Source organism: Homo sapiens, chromosome 12 (assembly GCF_000001405.40).
Source record: "Homo sapiens chromosome 12, GRCh38.p14 Primary Assembly".
Classification (NCBI taxonomy): Eukaryota; Metazoa; Chordata; class Mammalia; order Primates; family Hominidae; genus Homo; species Homo sapiens.
In genome coordinates this window covers 87,641,341-87,663,745 of record NC_000012.12, presented here as the reverse complement: position 1 = coordinate 87,663,745, position 22,405 = coordinate 87,641,341, and the positions used below count along the sequence as shown (strand labels likewise).

General features: G+C 34.3%; 1 long non-coding RNA gene across 1 annotated transcript in view; it reads left to right on the top strand.

Annotated features, from left to right (window-relative positions):
• LOC105369881 (uncharacterized) overlaps nt 1–22,405 on the top strand; it is a 58,306-nt gene that overhangs the window by 6,777 nt on the left and 29,124 nt on the right. The window contains exons 2-4 of the long non-coding RNA XR_945161.2: nt 11,763–11,863; nt 14,238–14,327; nt 15,075–15,229. This is a non-coding gene — a long non-coding RNA (uncharacterized LOC105369881). The remainder of the gene's footprint in view (nt 1–11,762; nt 11,864–14,237; nt 14,328–15,074; nt 15,230–22,405) is intronic.

Genomic DNA, 22,405 nt, shown 5'->3' with positions numbered 1-22,405 from the left:
TATTCTAATAGTCACATTAAAAGAATACAATGAGTGAAAATTATTTTAATGTGGTAGTTTACACCAGGCACAAAGTATTTCAAGACATATAATCAATATAAAATTATTACTGAGAAATATGACTCTCATAATTTATATTAAGTCTTTGAAATCTTATGTGCATTTTTCCCCGTAACGCATCGTAGTTTGGACTAGCACATTTCAAGTGCTTGAGAACCACAAGTAGCAAGTGGTCACTGTATTGGACAGTTTGTGATGAAATCAACATGTTAGATTCTTCATGACAATCATTTCTTATTTCAGAAGTCTGCAGGTATTATACTATTTTGGCTGTGAAAATGCACCTTTAAACAAACTTACAGTGTAGATATAACACAGTGCTTTTATTACATCTTCTATGGAAGATGAAGATGGATCAGATATACATACATTAGACAAAAAAGCAACACATGAAACAGTAACAGCATAAAAGTAAGTAACTGTCCACATTTAGCCATGCTAATTTCATCTGTAAATTTAGGATTATATTATTTTTATTTCATCTTTTTACCCAGCTTTTGAAAATTATTTTAAAGAGATTTTGCATATCTTTCCATGTGTTGTCCTTGTTTTTGTTGTATAAATATTTTGGATGATGTTTTGCATTATTTGGTGTATATTTCTATTTGAATCTGGGTTTTTGTATTTGGAGAAGTAGGGAAGGCTACAAATTTCTGAAGGGCAGATGACAATGGCTTGCAAACCTTGCTCACTACACACCAAATCAGTTAAACCATAGCAAATGGATCAGAATGTAATAAATGGATTAGTTCTCATAAAGAATATTTTGAAAAGTATTGCTTCTATTTTTTAAACTTTCATAATTTCCTTAATTTTTCATAACTCAAAATTGTTGGCAAATAAATATATTGGAAAACATTCAGAGTTCAGTGCCAGGCTCTAGCTCCATCTTATTTCTAATATCACTCTTCTCCCTAAAGCTGGAGGCCTTTGGCACCTACTTAAGATCCAGATTTTATCCTGTTGAAAGCAACAATACTTATTTAAACCAGGAGATCCTCATGGCTTTACCTCTGATCCTCTGTTTCAGGAATTTTGTTTGGTTTTCTAGACCAACACTGACTTCTGCATTTTGTAAGGCTGTGAATTATACTAGTAAAGACTGGAGACTTCAATCACCAATGATATAGCGGCTGTCATGAAAATGTATTGACATGTTTTTATTTTTATGGGTCTATAGGTTAACCTAATTTTCATTTATGCTATAGTTACTCCAATGTAAAATTTCAATAAAGTGAAGAGATCTCATTTCCTTCTATCCACAATGTTCTATTATTTTTCTAACTTTAAAGTATTCACATATACAAACAAGATTAGCTAAATGTTTATCCAGTCCTCTTCATCCTGTGATCTACAGTTTCAAAGTTCTGTTTTCCCTGTCCTCCACATGTGTTTTTCTACTCATACATTGTGAGTATTAGAGAGTGAGGTGTGAGTAGGAGTAGAGGTGTTTCTATTCTCCTTTTATATAACACTGTATATACTAGTCCCTCTTTATTTTCAGTTTCACTTTCTGCAGTTTCGGCTACCCAAGGTCATCCACAGTCCAAAGATATTAAATGAAAAATTACAGAAATAATTTATAAGTTTTAAATTGTGTGTTGTTCTGAGAGTAGCATGATGAAATCTCGTGCTGTTCCACTCCATCCCACCCAGGATATAAATCATCCCATTGTCCACTGTATTCATGTTATCTGCGTTACCTGCCTGTGAGTCCCTTGGTAGCCATCTCAGTTATCTTATTGACTGTGGCAGTATTACAGCGTTTGTGTTCAAGGAACCCTTATTTAACTTAATGGCCATAAAGCATAAGAGTAGTGAAGCTGGCAGCTTGGATATGCCAAAGAGTAGATATAAAGTGCTTCCTTTAAGTGAAAAGGTGAACGTTTTTGATTTAAAAAGGAAAAATATAGTGTAAATGGTGTTCAGTACTGTCTGAAGTTTCAGGCAGTCACTGGAGATCTAGGAATCTATCCCCCATGGATAAGAGGGGGCTACTATAATACACTGTGAGGAAGATATTACTGTTTCAAGTTTACACTTAGGAAAACTGATTGAGAGTTTAGTAACTTGCTGAAGATATCACAAGTAGTAAATGTGTGACTCTGACCACTTCTCACCATCTCTATCACTCTCATCCTTACAATGCTCTTTATGGCCCCTCACAACCTCTCTAATTTTAAGTCCCACCACTCTCAAGTTGTTAGAAGATATCCTGAGATTTTTTGTGGCCTGAGATTTCCACTAACATGAAGACACAGAATCAAGAAATGTACAAAGACTTGTACTTGGTAGCAGAGTTTGCTATTTATCTATGGTTACCTAATATATTATCTGAAAACAGAATGACAGTATAATTGATTATTTGTCACAGTTTCTGTGGGTAAGGATTAATGAGCAGCTTGCTGGGATGTTTTGGCTATGGGCCTCATGAGATTCCTGTAGTAGTAATGTCATAAGTTGGCTAGGGTTGCAGCCATTTGAGGATCTACTGAGCCTCCAGGCAGGATCATTCACGTGGATGGCAAGTTGAAGCTGGCTATTGTCAAGAGGTGTAAGTTTTCCTCTAGGTGGTTCTCTCCAGAAGACTGCTTTAGTACTCTCACAATATAGTGGCAGGCTTCTCTCAAAGTGTTATCCACAGGCCAGTGTGGGAGGTGTTGTGTCTTTTATGAGCTGCCTTGAAACTTCCGCATGGGAATTTCTGTAGTATTCTTTTGATGATGCAAATATTCCCTGATTCATTATGGGTGGGCATAAATGCTGGGAGGCTAGAAGTATTTGGGGTCATCTTTATGGCTAGCTACCACACCTAATTTGAGTCTTAGATAAAACTGTATGAAGCTTTATCTGAACTGTTTTTGTTCATCCACTTTGGGTTGATTCTTATGTCATTTTCAAACACAAAATCTTAATTGATAAAATGGGATCCTAAAAGACTTGCTTACTAGTTTAAGAGCTTCCAATCACAGCAATAACTTAAAAATTCATATTATTACAAATGTGAAGATCGTTAAGGGCTCATCCCTTCAAATATAAAATGAGAAATGACTAATGATGAATAATTGAGTGATTTTTAAGGATATCAGATTTTGCTTAAATTACAAGAACTAGTATAACATGACTTAAAATAATTACAAATGTTACTTGGCTTTTACTTTGAGCTCTTGGAAGGTTATCTAGAATTAGGTTTTCTTAGCTCACAAGATATAAAAGTTGGAATGCGTCTTTATAGCCAAGTTATATTCTCATTCAGATGTTAAGTTTCAAACCAACTCTAAAGAATGCTTACTCTTAGGCAAATATATCTTTTCAGCTTGGAATGAAGATTTGATATTTTTAAATTTTTCTGCTGTTTTATATTAGATGTTTTGTTATAAATGAGTTATTCTATTATGAATCATGTAGGACCTGTATCTACTCTGATTCAACACCTTTCTGTTTTAAAAAGAGAAAGATGGTTGTTGATGGTTTTTTAACATTCATTTTTTTCCATGAACTTGCGTGTATTCCTCAATATTTTCTTTACACATCAAACTGAATATTATAAAATTTATTATGTAGAAGATATGAAATGTAAAACAAAATCCCAGGGAAGATTTACATAATAAAATTTTAAGAATTTAGGAATTAACTAAAATTTCTTAGGAAATTTTTTTCAGACTCTCCAAAACTGAGTAACTTATCTCGTTAATTGTTCTGGTATTAACACTAAATTATCAGGATTTAAACCAACTAGATAGAGAACTACTTTAAAAGTGTTAACTTTAAGAATTTTAAGAATGTGGTGTAATTTTTAAAATTCTTCTGCAGACAACTGAAGTTTTTTACCCATATTATAATATGATAATTGGATTTTTTTTAAAATGAGCCTTACATGTTCCTCTTTTTGTTTCATTTTACTTTTCTCTTTCCTCAAATGTCTATTTTTGGTATACTGTTTCATACATTTTAGTTTGCTTGCCCTTTCAAATGCAATTAACATTCTGGCAAATTTACAAAAGAGGTTAAGAAATTGCTGTGAATGCAAAGGCAGACATAAAAAAGAAGTAATCATTTTAGTATATTTGATAGTAAGAGAGCTAAAATTTACAAGTTTTGCTTGGAAAAAATGGATGGGGGAGTGTAAGAGGTGCTTTCCACCAGCTGCAATTGATAATTGAAGCTGCACATAAAGCAAAGCTGGAAGCCATCATCATGACTCTTTCTACTTAGCAAACAAATACATTGGCAGTAAATAAACAGAGGCATATGCCTGTGGAAAATAGGATATAGAGGTGCACTTTCTAGAATTTCATGTAAAAAGAAATACTAGGACACAGAAAAGGGCTATTTAGCATAACTTAGAGATATCCAATGAAAAAATGTGTTAGTAATTATATGTACAGGGATAGAACTTGACCAGATTAGAAACTGGTGAATTTTTGACCTGTATTTATCTTCCTTTCTTGTGTGACAAGCCTTCCCTACATCCTACTTCTATTCCCAGATTGAAGATGCTCCTTGTGCATGTTCATTTGAAATAGAAACTAGACATCACTCAATACTTTTACCCAGAGCCAAATAAATAGGTAAGTCAGGCAATGTATTAGTCCATTCTTGCATCACTATAAAGAAATACCCAAGACTGTATAATTTATAAAGAAAAGAGTTTTAATTGGCTCACAGTTCTGCAGGCTGTTCAGGAAGCATAGGACTTCTGGGGAGGCCTTCGGAAACTTTCAGTTATGACGGAAGGTGAAGGGGAAGCAGGCATATCTTACATGGCTGAAGCTGGAAGAAGAGATGAGGGAGGTACCACATGCTTTTTTTTTTTTTTTTTTTTTTTTTTGAGATGGAGTTTCACTCTTGTTGCTCAGGCTGGAGTGCAATGGCTCTGCCATTACTCAGTTCCAAAGCTGCTTTCACATTTTCAAATATCTTTATAGCAGTACTTCACTTCTGGTACCAATTTTCTGTGTTAGTCTGTTCTTGCATTGCTATGAAGAAATACCTGAACTTTTGCTTGTTCTAAGAGTGACCTTTCACTCATGGTAATAGTAAAAAAACACACCCCTGTGTGGAGATTAAAGATAAGAATGGAACATACAATATATGTACTGCCATGTACAGCTACAGCACATGTGCACCCAGAGGACCACCCAGAACATGCTTATTAGTAACACCTCTTTCTCCCACTTGGTGAATAATCATGTAAGACTCCCATAAAGGGAATTTTCCCCAGTGTCAGTCACTATCATCTCATCTTCAAATGTCCTGTTCTGACTTGGCTTTCAGAGTGTACTTTTGCTTTTTCAATAAACTGCCTTGCACTGATATCTTTATTGCTGTGTTTCTCTTGCTTTAATTCTTTTCACCAAGAAGACAAGAACTGTAGATCCACATTCCCAGTAACACACCCCATCTCCAGCACTTTATAATCCCCTTCTCCATATTATTTTTGTCTCTTTAGCACTCATCACTAACACTATGTGTACACACTTATCTATGCCTACACATACATGTATGAAGATTTTTATCTGTTTATTGCTTTATCTCCAATACCTAAGACAATATCTGGCAGACGATAGAAACACAAAAGGAAAAATAATAAATATTAAAATAGATATTTATTGTAAAAATGAATGGAAATTTATTCTGCTAAGGACGACTAGAAACAACCTCTAAATTTAGAAAGCATCTGATGCTCCAGAAATTTTCCCAAGGTTTTTCTGTTTAAAGTTTCAAAATTTAAGCTATTCACAAATTTCCTTCTGTAACTCATCTTTTGCTAGCATTTGTAAGGTTTACAAGACTGCCACAGAATAAATCTGCAGTGGTTTCTAGGTCAGTTGTTCATAACCTGTTTGAGCTCCCAAGAAAAGTGCATACCCCTGTTCCCTTCTCTGTATCCCTTTGTTGATAGTTCCTTCCCCCTATTTCCTGGGCTGCATCATGGAGACAGCTAGGCCACCTCAGTCATGGTTCATAGGGGCAGGGAAATTGCCACATGGTCCCAAGAAGACTAGAATGTACTCTCCTTAAGGAGTGAAAAATTGACTGGGCTGAACATAGCTGTTTTTCTCAACTCACCACGACAGAGTCATTTGTTATTTCTTCTACTATGAGAATTTTGTGTGTGTTTGTAGGTATGTGTGTGTGTGTATCTTTTGGCAGGGGGTGTGTTATATGTTGAAAACAAGCCAAGGAGCTTACTATAGTGGAAATCCCATTATGGTCATATCAGGTAAGAAAAATGAAGGTCATCACTATCCCTGACTATCCAGTATTTACCAGCCTTTCTGACTCATTGGGTTGAACTAGGTAACTTATAGTAGAGTCACAGCTCTACTACACAGAGCCACAAGCTCTTATCAAATGAGAGAACATCTACAGTTTATTAACAGTCCTGTTCAAACACATATGAATCCACTATCCTATTGGCAAACATTTTTTCTTCATTTATTTCTTCTTGAAATGTTGGTGAGTGGGTTTAGTCTTTGACCTAAAAATCTATGATATGGCTTGTAAAATTATATCAGCTAATTTAACTCCAAAGTTCTATTGTACTTCAGGCAAAAATGTTAATCCCTACTCTGTTTCTTATTATAAATGCTTCAGAGATTAGTAAAACTGTAAAATGTGGGGAAAGGCTAAAGGGCCATTTTGTGACAAGTAGAATGTTTAGGGATATGAGCATCTTTGATCATATTATCCCTGTTCTATGTCATAATTTACTCTTCCTTCAAGGTTAACTGCGTTAATATTTATGTGCTCAGTAGATTTCAACTTAGATGGCATTTCCTCCAGAATGCTTTGCTTAAACCTCCTTGGCGTGGTTGGTTGCTTCTGCTATTTGACCCCCTTCTGTCCTCAATTTGTACCGCATTGTATGTACCTTTGTCAAAGCCCTATTCACTCTTCTGAAAGTAAATTCTAGCTTCCTTGTCTAACTCCTTCCTGAAATATATGCCCTGTGAGTATGTATATCATCATGTCTATTTTGTTCACTATTTTATCTCCTATTAGCATGGTAACTCTGCCTTTAATAAATTTTTATCAAATGAAAGAGTGATTCATTTTAAGAGAATAGAAGCCATGAAGTCTTCGCAGCATGAACATTTAGATGTAGTGTTTGGGAATTCACAGGTTTCAGATTGCTCTGGCTTCTCACAGCTGGTTGCTATGGAAACAACTACCCAGGTTCTGCTTGGGATGGTTAACCCCACCTGGAAATGCCTAGCTGTGCCTCCCTTAAGCTTGGCTAATCCTAGGTCTTGGGACTCATCTTCTCTTTTTCTTTGCCATTTGAAGTATGGCATCTAGAGGGCCATGATCAGCTAAGGGCCTAGGACAGGGTTTTTAAATGAGGAGTTTATGAAAAACCCTTAACTTGTATACAAGAGATACAAAAGAATGGCATTCCTTGGTAATAGAAAATTTCTGCCACTAACTCAACCAGAGCTTTCTGTGATTCACTCTGGTTCACCTGGACACTACCCTGATGTTTGGAGTTCTTAGATAGAATAACTCCTTTCCATGTCTCCCTCAACTTATAGCAGTGGTAGGCATCTGGTTGAGAACTAAAAATACTGGATTGTAGTCTTCTCTTTCAATTTTCTTTGTGCCATAAAGATGAGATTAATAATCATCAGACCACAAAAAAGATACATGAAAACAACAAATAAAAACACCTGAGACTAACAGATTTGAGTGGCAGCATGTGAGTCCAAAGGGCAGCCAAGATTATGATCACCATGGTTTGAACTAGTAGAAAAACAAGGGAAAGTCAAATATATTTATTGTAATTATTATACAGGTTATATTCTACTTTAGAAAGGGGTGACAGGAGTGGAGAGCTACTTTGCTGAAAGATCTTTGAATTTATACCTCTTACCCATCTTTTCAAATAAGATTTCCCTGCCTAAGAACGATAGAACTATGAGGATTCTTAGACAAAAGCTTTTTTTCTTTCCATTTAAAAAGGCAAAATTTTTAAGTGAGACATTGTGCTAGGCCTTGGAGAATAATAACAGCGATGATGATGATGATGGCTAACAACGAGTGTTAATTAGGTGCCAGCAATTTATTATCTATCTCAATTCTAAGGACCCTCTGAAGAAGGACTATTATTATTCTCATGTACAAATGAGTAAACTGAGATACAGAGAGGTTAAATTACGAAAAAATAATAACAGCATCAGGATTTTTAACTAGGAGGTCAAATTCCAGTGACCAGTCTCTTATGTGTACAGATGTGAATAAATGGATATTCTGAATGACGGAACATCATGAAAACTGACAATCGGGACAGCCCGGGATTTGTGCTGTGAACAGAGATTACACAAGTTTATGTAAAGTAGGGAGAGCAGTGATACATGAGATTGGCAAGATAGGTTGGGACCAGTCACAGAAGACTGTTACACTAAACAATTAATACTTTTTGTTATGGGTGTAGAAATGGTAAAGCCAAATTTTCCAGGAATGAGGAATTATCAGTGCTACAAGCATCAACTAATCTAGAGATCTCAGAAAAGCAAATACTTATAGTCATGGGGAAACTTTGCATTTTCAGAGGCCATTATGGAGAACAGAACCAACCTTGCTTTTCTTAGTTTCAGAAGTAGGGAGAACTTCAGGATAATAAAACAGGAGTTACAAAGTTCAAAGATGGTTAGCGCTCCCATGTTAGTAACTCCTCATAGGCTAATAAGGCAAAATTTCTTTAACATTTTGTTAGAAAAAAATGCTTTGAAATAGGCAAAAAAATAATAATTGAGCGGCTTTTTCAATAAAATATTGGCCATTGTCTAGTGCAACTTCCTGGACTTATCTGATATTTTAGAGATCTGTGCCTTGGAGAGTTCAGGGAGTTTCATGACACCATGGGACAAATAAATGAGAGCCAGAAATCAACCCCAACTCTTGTTAAATAAAAGTTTTATGCTTTAACAATTAGACTATATCTAATTTCTAACTTTACTAAAACATTAATCTGCAAGGTCTATTCCCAGAGCAGTGCTGTTATTAATGGAACATAGTCCAGCAATGAAAAATATATTCAAAATAATTCATTTCTCTTTGATTTACTCAATTCATACACACACCCATTGTAATAAACACCCAAGTGTCTTTTTATTTCAGTGTTAATTAGAATTATTTCAACTACAGGATCCGGAAAAATAATTTAAAACAGGTTAAGTTTAAAAGTAAAAGAATAGTTCATTACACTGAACTACTTTTAGTTCATTACACTGAAAAGTCAATGGGATAAACTGGTCCACATAGTTGACTGAAAAATCTTATGTTTTGGGGGTTTTCCCTCCATCCCTGGCCTCATTTTCTCTGCATGGTCTCATCTTCTCCAATTTAAGAGGGCTAGGTCTGTGCCATCAGGGAAAATAGCTGCATGCAGCTCAAGCTTACATTGGCTTTATAATGTATAATTCCAGAAAGAAGAGAAGGCATCTTTGTTGATAGTTCCAGAAGAACAGTCCAAAGGAGACCTCAGGCAACATATTCCACTAAACTAGATTGTCACATCTACTTTTGTTACATTTCTAGTTTATCCAAATTTCTTGAGTCATTTCCTTTCCTAGACATTAGCCTACACAAGCAGTCTAGGCATGTGCCTACACAAGCAGTCTCTTGTTTTTTTATTCCCTTCATTCTCTTATTTTCTTCTAATTCTGCATAATAACATTTTAAATAACCTATCTAATAGCAGTAGAAATTTCACTGAAAAGCAAAACAGAAGAAAAATATGCAAGCAAAACCAGAAGTCAAACCAGAAACCAAAATCTCAAACTTAACATATGTGGACCTTCCCTGCTTTCTCTTCTATATATAGGGTTAGTTTAAAATTCTGTGTTTCCCTTAAAATTTACATCTGGGAGAGGAAAGTACAAAGGTATCATGATACTGTTTGAAAAGAATGAGAGGAGAGCATTTAGGAAATGGTTTAGATTTGAGATGTGTCATAAGAGCTGTGTTGGCAAATGAAAGTTCTGCTTTTTGATTTGATATTAATCTATTGAAATATGTTCATTTTACCTTTAAGCACTTTTTTTCACAACTCTGCCTCACCTGTGTTCAAAAGAGTATCCAAAGTCCTTTGACGGAGGGTGAACTAATTAGCTCTAGTTCAGTGATGTCATAGCAAGTTAATTATCACCTCCATAAACATCCAGTTTACAACCTTAAGTAATAATACATATGTTAACATTTGTATTTTCCTGACACAGAATTATTGTATGAATTAAATAATGTGAGGCTTATAGATTCCTAATTTCTCTGAGCTCCGACTACGTGTTGAATCTATAATAAGCTCTTTTCCGCCACAGGGAACCTATAAAAACTTTGGATCAGATAAGTGGTGTGATCAGTGAGGTATTTTAGGAAGACTAAACTTTGTAAAAAGAATGTGCTAGATAAGGGGAAGCTGGATGTTAGAAAAACCACTTAGGACACCATGGTAATAACAGGCAAAAGGTCATGTGATCTGCATTCTTATTTTTTCAGACAGCCTGGAAAAGAGAGGGTCAACATGAGAGATGTGTTGGAGGTGAGATTGACAAGACTGGACAAATAGCTAAATGGGGTTGGGGTTGCAAGAGAATAAAAAATAATTCTAACATTTTGAGCTTGGGTGACAAGGAGAGATGGTGGCTTCTTTCATTTTGATGTGAAATGCAGCTGCACACCACAGTACTTACAGAATTTGAAATACAGATATTGAGTAACCCTCTTGAACAGAGTTAAAACGGAGAACAATGATGTGTAAAATTCCTATGTTTTTAGTCCATTCTCATGCTGCTATAAAGAACTGCCCAAGACTGGGTAAATTATAAGGGAAAGATGTTTGATTGACTGACAGTTCCATACGGCTGGGGAGGCCTCAGGAAACTTACAGTCATGGTGGAAGGGGAAGCAAACACATACTTCTTTACATGGTGGCAGGAAGGAGAAGAGTAAGAGCCGAGTGAAAGGAGAAGCCACTTATAAAACCATCAGATCTCGTGAGAACTTACTATCATGAGAATAGCATGGGGGGAACTGCCCCCATGATTCAGTTACCTCCCACTGGTTCCCGTCCACCACATGTGGGGACTATGAAAACTACAATTCAAGATGAGATTTAGGTGAGGACACAGCCAAACCATATCACTGTGATTCTCTGCTACTTAGGAAAAAGATTGCATGTTACTTTTAATGGAAAATCTGTGGTCAGGAATCAAATATACACACACAGCATCCATGCAAATAGAACAGCATGAATTAACAGCTGGAGAATTTTATGAACAAGATTCTTAGTACATTTTTGCTTGAAAGCACTAATAAATCAGATCTGCAGAAAACCTTCGTCGTGATACAACACCTCCCCTTAAGGTAATGAAGATACTCTCCTCATTTATTACTTGTCTAAGCTCTAACCTTTGTAACTTCCCCTGAGTTGATTTACAATTTGGGTTTTAGTGTGATGATTTATGTATGATGTCATTAAATATTTTGTGGAAAATATACTTTTTATTCAATATCTTCTAAAATCATTTTACTTAGAGTGTCTTTTTTGCCCAACCAATCTTTCTTTAACCCTGAAATTAAAGTTGCTAATAAGAAAAGACAAAAGGACATTTATTTTTCTTTTGGCTCCTTAGGGTGATACAATATTTTCTCTGTAGGAAGGAAGGAGGTAAAAATCCGTACTTTACTTTTTTTTGTAGAGATGAAGGCAAATTATGGTAATCCAGCTGAAATCCATGGGTAGTTTCTCACCATAACCTTGTAACTGACCTCTGTCCTGTGAATTCAGGAGTGGAGCTGAGTAAGTGCATTTGAAACAGCTTATTAAAATTATGCCATTAGCTAGGACTGTAAAGTGAAATATGGATGCTGTGTTTAGATAACCTAGGCAAAAATGGACTATCTCAGGAGAACTAGCCTAAATTAGCAATATTTCAATTCATTTTCTATTTATAACTAGCTGGATAATTTTACTTGCTTGTTATGAGAATAGTGCAATTTTGAATTGCTACTACTAATGGTTGCCATGTATTGAGAGCTTATTGTTTGCCATGTTTTGAGTTTAGCAACATATGTATATTATCTAATTTAATGCACATAATGACCTAAGAGTTTAGTATTGGCTTTCATATTGACATTTCAAGCAACTAAGGCTGAAAGAAATGAACTTTCCCAGGGTTATATAATTTTTAAGAAGCAGAGCTATTTTATCTCATATTCAGAGGCTGTGCTTTTAACCTTACACTAAAATTACTTAATAACCCCTTTTTCTGATTTTTGATGATGAGTGCTCTAATTTATAGTTTAAATGAGGTTTAAATTCACTGATTTATTTTTAAAGTGTTTCATATATATTATGCAATGTCCTATTTATGCTTCTTCTACTCGATAAATGATTATTTGATTCATGCCAGTCAAGATACCAGTTTTAATAGTATAAATGAATGGGTCAATAAAACAGTCTTTATTCTGCTTTGAAAATTTCAACTTCAGGAAAATATTTTAATGGAAATTTATTGACAAGAATAATAAATTGTTGGTTGGTAAAGCAAACATAACTTCTATAAAGACAGTTTTATAGGTGGTACACTGCCAATGATCTGTCAAGTGTATTTACAAATGCTATCCTTTCACAGGGGAGAAAAGAGAAACTTCCCTACATTAACTCCAAGAAATTTCAGTTTGAAATATTGATAGTAGGTATAAGAGTAAATATTGATTATTATTATCTTCTGCATCCAAGGAGCAGTATTATGTATGCCTACATGTATGATGGACAAGAATTCTAATATTGACCCATAAAAGTAAAATTTCTCAGTTATCTCTACCTAAGTACAATGTACCACAACAAAAGTAAAACTGTGCATCTGAAAGATGAAGCTGGCACTTCTCAAATGCTTATTTATTTTAATCCAGACTCCTGTAGTTCCAAAAATTATTTCAGAATAAAACTTTCATGAGCTTTAATGGGTCTCTTTTTTTCTGAGATATTGTATGGTTAATTTCACTTTTGCTATTAAATTAATATCTTCAATGTTAGAGATTGGAGAAAGATAGGATCCATTTCTTCTGTGAAATCACATATCTGTGAAATTACGGTATGTATATAATGTGTGAAAGAGAATGTATATGTGTTTATACATTGATAATAAGCATCTTCTTATATTGAATTATCCAGGCTTGAAATATTAGTTTTAATGCATGACATTATAGAAAAACTGAAATAATCATCTAAGATAAAATAATCTTAAATAATCTTGAGTTAACATTTATTTGGTTTTTACTTAGCTTAATATAGAGAAAAGTAGATATGGTCATTGGCTGGTAGCACATGAGTTTTAATAAGCATGAAAATGGAATAAAAATTTTAAAAGGCATACACCTTATTATAAACACATCTAAAGAAAAAAAATCATGAGAAGAATTGAAATGATAGATAGTATGAAGAAAACGTCATTACTATTCCAACATTCCTTTCATGGCTGTTGTGCTGGTGGTGTGCTATAATTTCCTCAAAGGCACAGACTGGCAGAATATTAGACGGTTTTATAACATGACCTTTTTGTTTCTTTCACTGATTAACATTTTTAGATGGGATACAAGGAGACTCTGTCTCCTTTGCAAATCATAGGATTACAAAGTTAGGAAATAATTTAGAGATTATTTTCATTATTTTTACTCATTATTTTTATTCATTCCTACTGCTCATTGAGGAATTCTTTTCCCATCTTGCCCTTTTAGGTGGGTATTCACTATTTCATACATACAAATTTATACATATGTATAATATGTATGTATTACATACATATAATGTATACATACATATATATGTACGTATTTCTATGCCATGCCAGTTTTCAAACTAGAAATATAGCTTTTGTGACTATTAAATTATTACCTGAAGTCTAATCTGTTTTGTGCCTCTGGTGGTCTAAAGCTTCCTTAATTTGAGAGGCAATATACTGATTTGAAATTTCTACCACTGATTTTCACTAACTTTCTGAAACGACACACAGTATTACTATTTACATAAGCCTATAAGTAAGAATATAACTACCTTATTTCTCATTCTTCTGTAATATAAATTCAAATGCAAAAATCATAACACATTCTTTTAAGATTACCTCAGTGACCATCTTGTCATTATCCGTGTTCTTTTTTGAATATAATCCTAGGACTTGGCAAAATATTACATATGTACTCTGAACAGAACAAAATTCAGAGGAAATCTTTCTTCTTGGCCTGTGGACATGACTCTGACTAAGGTAGCTTAAGTTTACATCATAACTTTTTTTAGTTCCAATAATGCAATTTAATGCCCTTATTATGTTCTATTACAGTAAGTTATTAAAATATGGGTTTGAAATTCCTATAAGTTGAGTAATTTGGTATTCTACTATATTTCTCTAAGGAAGATATAATCCTAAACTGCTATAATGGGATGCAAATAATTTTCAGAAGCTCTCTCCTTTTACATATACCTCACTATTTATTCTATCATGTTTTGTCTTAGTACCTTACATTAATGAGTATTCTTATACAGGAATTTGATATTAAAATATTAATCATTGTGCATACATGTCTTGAAATATTCTTTGATAGGTAAATCAATATGGGATGGGGCAAAAAAAAAAAACCCCAATGATATGGTGCTGATCAAACATAGAGTATATAAAGAGGTTCTGGGTTGTGTCAAAAATGTGTAAGAGGAAATGATGAAAAGGCCCCCCAAGTCTTCTTTTAGGCAAAAGTGAAAAAAATATAGAGTTTTTTGAGTGAACATGAAGGCCTGAAGATTAACTTGGTGGGTTGTCTGCAAAGATGGCTGCTGACAATTCTTTTCATTTCTATATATTGACAGTGTTCCTCCCATCAAGCAGAGGCATTTATCTCCCTCTGTTCTTGAGTCTGGGCTGGACTTTACTTGATTTGACAGAAAGAATGTGGTGAAAGTGATATCGTATGACTTTTTGGCTTCATGTAAGTTTTCTATTTTATTTTTTGGAAACCAGCATTTTTATAAAGAAGTCTAGGATCTTCTTCCTATGTGGCTATGTGGAGAAAGAAAAGCCCTAGAGGGTGAGAGATCACAGGATGGAGAAAGGCACCAGGAGAAGAACCAAGATACCCTAATACAAAACTAGCACCAAGTCCCCCAGATAAGTAGGTGAGGCCATATTGAATAATCCAACAATGGTAGAACCATTCAAGCCACTTATATGTGCAGTAGAGATGAGCTGCACTGCCCTTTGCATGTTCTTTGTGTGGGTCAGGAGAAGAGAAATAAACTTTTATTTTTAGGTTATCAGATCAAGATAAGCCATAGTCACATCCAGACTTGATGTAGATCACAAGATACTGGACCTCAAGTCTGACTAATTGGGTGAGACTTTGTCGCTTTAGGAGGTAGTCAGTGTATTCTGACTGGGGATAAGGTTATAAACTATTGTGGCTACAAGTCTGACTATCTGCAAAAAATGCCCACTACCAATTGCATCCAACCTTACATGTATATGCCATTCTTCCCAGCAAGAGGTGGAATCTATTTCCTGTCCCGTAAATCTAGGCTGGCCTAGTAGTTTGCTTTGACCAGTTAGATATGGTGCAAGAATACTGTTTGAATTCTGGTTTAATGCGTCAAGAATTCTTTCATCTTCATATGCACTTTCTTCACAGATGCTTTCTATATGAAGAAGTTTGGGTTATCCTTCTGAAATGTACATACAGAGAACCTAGAAGATGACAAAACATGAGAGAGAAACTATGTAGATAGAGGAGAGCTTGGGTGTCCCAGTTCGCAACCAGCCCCAGAGTTGCAGGCTGATAGGGGAGTGAGGTCAAGTTGAATCCTCCTGCCCCAGGATAGCCACATTAGCCAGAACCAAATGGAACAGAGATGAATCAAGACTGCTGAGTCCTGCCTGATTTCATTAACCAAAGAATCATGGGCAAATAATATGGCTATTGTTTGGTTTTAATTCATAAATAATAGTTGTACTTATTTGGGGTTATATGTAATATTTTAATACCGGTATGCAATGTGTAATGATCAAATAAGGGTAGTGGCTATTATTTAAGTCATTAGGTTTGCAGAGTGTTTTGTTAAGTAGCATAGATCATTGAAATTATAAGAAAAGTTATGAGATAGACTTTTTATAATAGATGATACTCCCCTCCCTCAATTCAATGTATTTTTAAGTCTGTTCTTGTGCCTGCATCTTGTATTTTCTACAAAATAATATTATTGGGGCAACAGAAGACATTGTATCAAAGCACTTATCATGATTTTAAAGTGAAATCGAAGCCAGTAACAGGAAACTTTTATCTTTGTTGATGACAGAAGTGGAGTTTATCTTGGTAAACCACTGAATCTTCCGTTCTCATCTCAGTTGATATTCTTTGCTCCAGGTTTTCAGAAAAAAAAGGCAAATATTTGATGCATAAAGCTCTTGTTGAGTTTATGAAAAAGAACTGTTAGTGAGGGTGTCTTTTGCTTGTTCTGAAGGCACTTTCTCTACCACTGTTTTTGATTTTGTAACAGAAGCAGCTAGTTGTCTCCAAATATCCATTAACTCTTTTCCCAAATATATATTCACCCTCTATTTCTTAATAGTAGAATTCCTCATCTCTTTTAGCTGGCGATACAGCTAGTCAAAATAAATTCTATATTCCCTAGCATCTTTTGAAGATGAAAATGTTTATTGGGCTATAGTCTGATTATGAGACTATAAGGGGATAAAGTATGTGTGAATTCCAGGAAATAAGCTTATGGAATAAGAGTAGACTTCTTCACTTTTTTCTTCTTTCTTCTGGCTGGAATGTGTATCCTCTTTGCTAGAAGTCAAGCAGCCATTTTGAACCATGAATTGTAAGCCATGTCTTCAGGATGAGAGAGCCACACGCTAAAAACAGCCTGTTTTCCTTAAGTGACGAAGCTTTATTTTAGCCCCAGGCTGAGATTAAAGGAAAATGAATCTATATTTTGTTGAAGTATTGTCATTTTGGACCCTAAAACATATTATTGACAGACTCTCTTCTTGACCAACTTTAGGTTCCTCCGAGTCCTCTTCTTGAGTAGGTCTCATCCTTGGCCTTCCTTTCTGTCCTGTTCTTTCTGGGCAAGAATCCTGCTAAGTCAGTTTAGTGAGACTCCCCTCAACTTTTGATATCTGATAATCCTCTATAAATGTTCAAGTTCTTCATCTCCCACCTTTGATGTATAAATCCTTGACCTGTCTTAAGCAAGACTCTTAAGTCAGTTTAGAAAGAATTCTTCTACCCTTAATGTCTCAATAATTTTCCATCTATTGATCCCCCTTTCTCCGCTAGTTGGTTATAGATCCTCAGCTATCTTTTCTATTTATTTTCTCTATTGTGATCATCTTGATACCTATTGCAATAGTCTTGAATAAAGTCTTCCTTATCAGTTTAACAAGTATCAGAATAATTTTTTTAGCACTACCAAGCCTAATCTCTCCTAATTCAGGAGGCTTCCTCAGAAAATAAATTTGAGGACTCAGTGATGTTCAGGCATCAAGGCTAATTTTAAGATTTTTTTTGTATTAGCTATTTTCATTATCTACATCAGTGGGACCCATAAGCCTATGGAGTTCCATTAATAGGAAATCAGTTATTTTTTTACTGAGGAGGTAGGGAAAGTTACATGCGATGCAGAGACATTTTCTAATCTAATTTTCCAATAAATAAGTTTTCTTTTTAAGAATCAATTGGACAAGAGAATGTATTTTGATTGGCCTGGTACATATTGTGAGGGTTACTAGAAATGGAAAGATGTTCAGGCAGAGAAAAATTAGTTTTGTTTGTATCACAGACAAATTTTGGATAGCCATTACAATATCCTCAGCTTCTCAACCTAATCATCTCACTGCGTAAGCTCCAGAAATTTCTCCTCCAACATAATTATTAACCAAAAGCCAAAGTTTTGGTTTTGACTCTAAGAAATGGGTTTACAGAATTCACCACATCCTTAAGGATTCATTTTTGTTGTCCCTTTTCCCTTTGATTTTCCCAGCTTTTGATAGATACAGACTTATATTTGATTTAGGAAAAGTCAAGACCATGGATCCTGGCCAGAATCAGCCCTGCAGGGTGGACATTTAGAATTACTTGGAAATGCAAAGTGAACAGAGTGAAAATAAAAAGTCAATTTTATATAAAAAGGCTCTATGTTACTAAATACCAATATGATTGAGAAGTCAGATTCTGCTGGGAAACAGTTACACTTCTAAGAAGAAATTATGATTTTATTACCTGAAATAATCTGTCAATATGTTAATATTTTAAGAAAGCATAGAATCATAGATAACATATAAATACAAATTATATTATACAAATTAAGAGAAAGACTTTGATAACTGTTTGAATAAGATAAGATTTAATTACAGATATCACTCATCATAGCATGACTTAAAAGAATTCTGGGAAAAAGTTCATTTGGAGGTACATGTTGGGACCAAATGCCATAGAGGTGGTGATTGTTAGGGGGAAAAATCACTGCTTTTTCTAGTAACTGGGAAAAAAATTAAATCTGATAAATGTAGACAAGGTTTATTATAAATTGACTGATTTTTCAACAATGGCTATTGGATAACTATTGTTTTAAAAAATCTTTTTTGAAAGGCATAGAGAACTTTTGGAAGCTGGGAATAAAAGTCTATTTCTGAACTTCTTACAATATTAGAAAACTGGATGACAGGAGCATGGGGGATGGCTATGGGAGTCTTCAGGGCAACCTTGTAAAGAATTTGGGTTATTACTGATATTGCCCAGATAATTTATTGCACACTGCTTTCCAGTATAATCTTATGAATCCAGTTTCAATCATGTCAAAGAAGTGAAGAATTTAAGTGATTATCTAGACAAATTTGTGTCTTAGTTTGTGCTGCTGTAACAAAAGACCTCACCTCCTAGTACCTTCACATTAGTGATGAGATTTCAACTTATGAATTTGGAGTTGGCCGGGGGGACACATTTAGACCACAGCAACCTGTTTCTGGAAATGTGCTATTAATTTGAGTTATCTGGATAGGTTTAATCATATTCTCTGTATATATGGATAATTATTTTCATATTATTGAGGTTAGGCGTGGGTTGGATACTCTTTAGTTTTGTTAAGTATGTCTGAGACATGGAGAGTAGCTCGTTGTGAAATAATTATTCTTTACAACTGATTTCTGAGCAAACTGCTTCCATTCCCTGCTCCATTGGTTGTAATGTGGGAAATACCCATTCCATGTTATCCTGGAGGCTTTGTTCACTTCAGGGAGCTTGTTGACTTCCCAGTCCCCAAACATATGCTTTCACAAAAATGTACTCTGTTTAATTTCACTTATCTTTGTGTAACTCACCACACACATAAAACAATTATTTCATAAATACAAATGCTGAAATGAAAATCTGAAGGTTATATGTAATTTAAAAATCCTTGAGCATGTACACTTTTATTTTATTTAAAAAATAAGGAAGAAAAAAGCAAAATCTCAAAGAAACCAGCAAATAGGGTACCAGCAGCTCTGTAGGCTATGCTGCCATCATAAGTTAATTCCTTATGGAATCATAAGCTAGCAGCAAAAACCCAGTCTCTGAATATATTATGAATCATTATTCCTTTTAAACAGAATCAAAGTAAAGAAAATATATCAAATAGATTTCTAATTATGATTGTTCATTATCTTTCATCTTGGCCTGGATCTTCATGTTAACCTTCTTACCCGAATAAAAAAGAGTCAGGAGACAGTCTTTGTTTCATCTGTTTTAATTTCATTACTGACAGGGCAACATTTGTATTCTTCTCCCATTTTCCTTAGGTCATGAATTCACCTTCAGAAATTGTACAGGAGGGTGTTTGGAGAATTTTTAGACTCCTGTTTTATTCTCTAGCAACCTATTAAGGAATAAAAGACATTTCCACCTTTATAAATTTTCCAAAGTTTATAAATCGGTTAATTTCCTGAAATCCCAAAGTGTTTCTCTACAGGATGACTCTGTATTCTGATTAGTAATTATAAGGAAGCTCAGTTTGCATTATTTACATTTTCTATAAAAACAAAACTTACCTATCATAAGAATAGCTAAAAAGATACATCAATTTTAATCTTTAAAAATTTTTGTTTCAAAGTTACTTTAAAGTCAATTTAGATCTTTAGAGAATTTAAGAATATCTAACTAAGTCAACATTGCCTTTACGTTAGAGCATGCCTTTGTAAATCCAGCAAGTGATAATATTTCATACTTAGGGCATTTGTGGGCCATGTCTTTAGCCAGAATTATCTTCTTTCACCTGGAATTCCTGGAAAACCCCTAATCGACTTTAAAATCACCTCCTCTTCCTTCCTGACGTTAGTAAAATAGTAGTGATCATAAGAAAACTTACACAAACTTCTGCATCAAATTTATCAACTTATTGTTTCTGTATCTCCACACTCTCTTTTCTTACCTATTAAATGATTGTCTAAGTTTATTCCCTCCACCTTCTTGCCACTTACTATTCCTGGATATTGCTCCTGCTGTGTTTCTTATACTTCCAGCTTCTACTCTTCATTGGTTCACTAAACTTATGTCCTCCAAAATCATATTCATGTCTTCCACTTTTCAAACCTGCTTCTCCCATGATGCTTTCCCTCATAGATGATACCGTGAATCTACCAATTAATCAGGCCAAGAAAGCCTAGAGTCTGTTTTGACTCTTCATGATCTGTAATAATTCATGTTTCCTCTCTAAACAAATTTTGTAATACCTTTAAATAATAGTCCAAATTCAACCACTTCTCGTCTCCATCACTATCACCTACTACAAGACTGTTGTCCATCACCTGGTTTACTGCCGTGGCCCCCTTACTCATACTCCTGATTTATTTGATAGAAAAGATGCTGAAGAAAGAGTAAACAAATTAAGTGTGGATTAACTAAATTTAAATAGTTAGCCTAGCCTTTTTTTTTTTTTTTTTTTTGGTAGTGGTAGGTAGAGTTCAGCTTCAGTTTTTGTTTAAACTATGGAGAAAAATAACTCCAGAAATCTGCATAGGGATCTCCTTGAGTTTTTTACTGAGTACTAAGTTATACACGGAAAGGATAAGATTTTACAGGCCCATACAAAGAAACAGAAATGAGAAAGAACCACCATGAGGGATCCTACAAACTAAATAATTATCAGACTTGGAACAAGGCTGAGAGCCCCTCAAGTCTAGCCAGTCAGAAGAGAGGCCTTTTAATTAACTCAGGAAATTCCAAAGATAATTCAGGCCATGACAAAGGAGTTAAGATAAAGTAGATGGATCTACACAGAAGATCTATACAAATGGTAAACATGTTGGTGAATGCAAAAAAAAAAAAAAAGGGCTTTCTAACATACAGAGAAGTAAAATTTATGACAATCATTGCAAAATGGATGCGTCCAGGGACTGTGATAAGTTAGATGCCTATTTGCCCAATGGATCACCTTGTAAAAAAATAAATAATGAAAAGAAAGCCGAAGAGAATATATTATTTAATATTCCAAATATTCAATTAATTTAAATTATAAAAGAAAATATTCTATGAGAAAAATAGAAAATCAATGACAAAGACTTAAATTCAACTATATCAATAATTACGTTAAATGTATATGAATTAGATATACCAATTATAAGGTAGTAATCCACAAAAATGATGTATAAAACAAAGCAATGCCAGACTATATACTCTCTACAGAAAACATATTTTAATTATAAAGATAGATGATTTAAAACTAAAGGGATGGAAAATGATATAATGTACAAACTCTAATAAGAAAGCTTAAATGCTTATATTCATATGAGACAAAATTAATTTTAGTGCAAGGAATATTACCAAAGATAAAGATGACATTTCCCAATGATAAAAAAGCAAATTAATCAGGAACATAATAGCCTAAATATGTATTCACAAAAAAAAAAACTGTAAAACACTTAAAGCAAACACTTATAAACCAGAAAGGAGAAATAGATAAATTCACAATTAAAGTTGGTGATTTTAATACTCTTCTGTCAGTAACAAAACAAGTAAAAACCACAAAACTGGGAAGTAGAATACTTGAAGGACATTTTCAACTAATGTAACCTAATTAACATTTATAGACCAGTACACCCAGTTATTACAGAATGCATATTACCTTCAAATGCAAATGGAACATTACAAAGATAGACCATATGCTTGGCTGTAAAAGTCTCAATTAATTTAAAGGAATTGAAATTATTCAGAGTGTTCTCTGAAAATAAAAATATTAAATTAGAAATCAATTAAAATATATCTGAAAAGCTCAAATATTTCAGAACTTCGCGTAACATTTTCAAACAACCCATAGGTC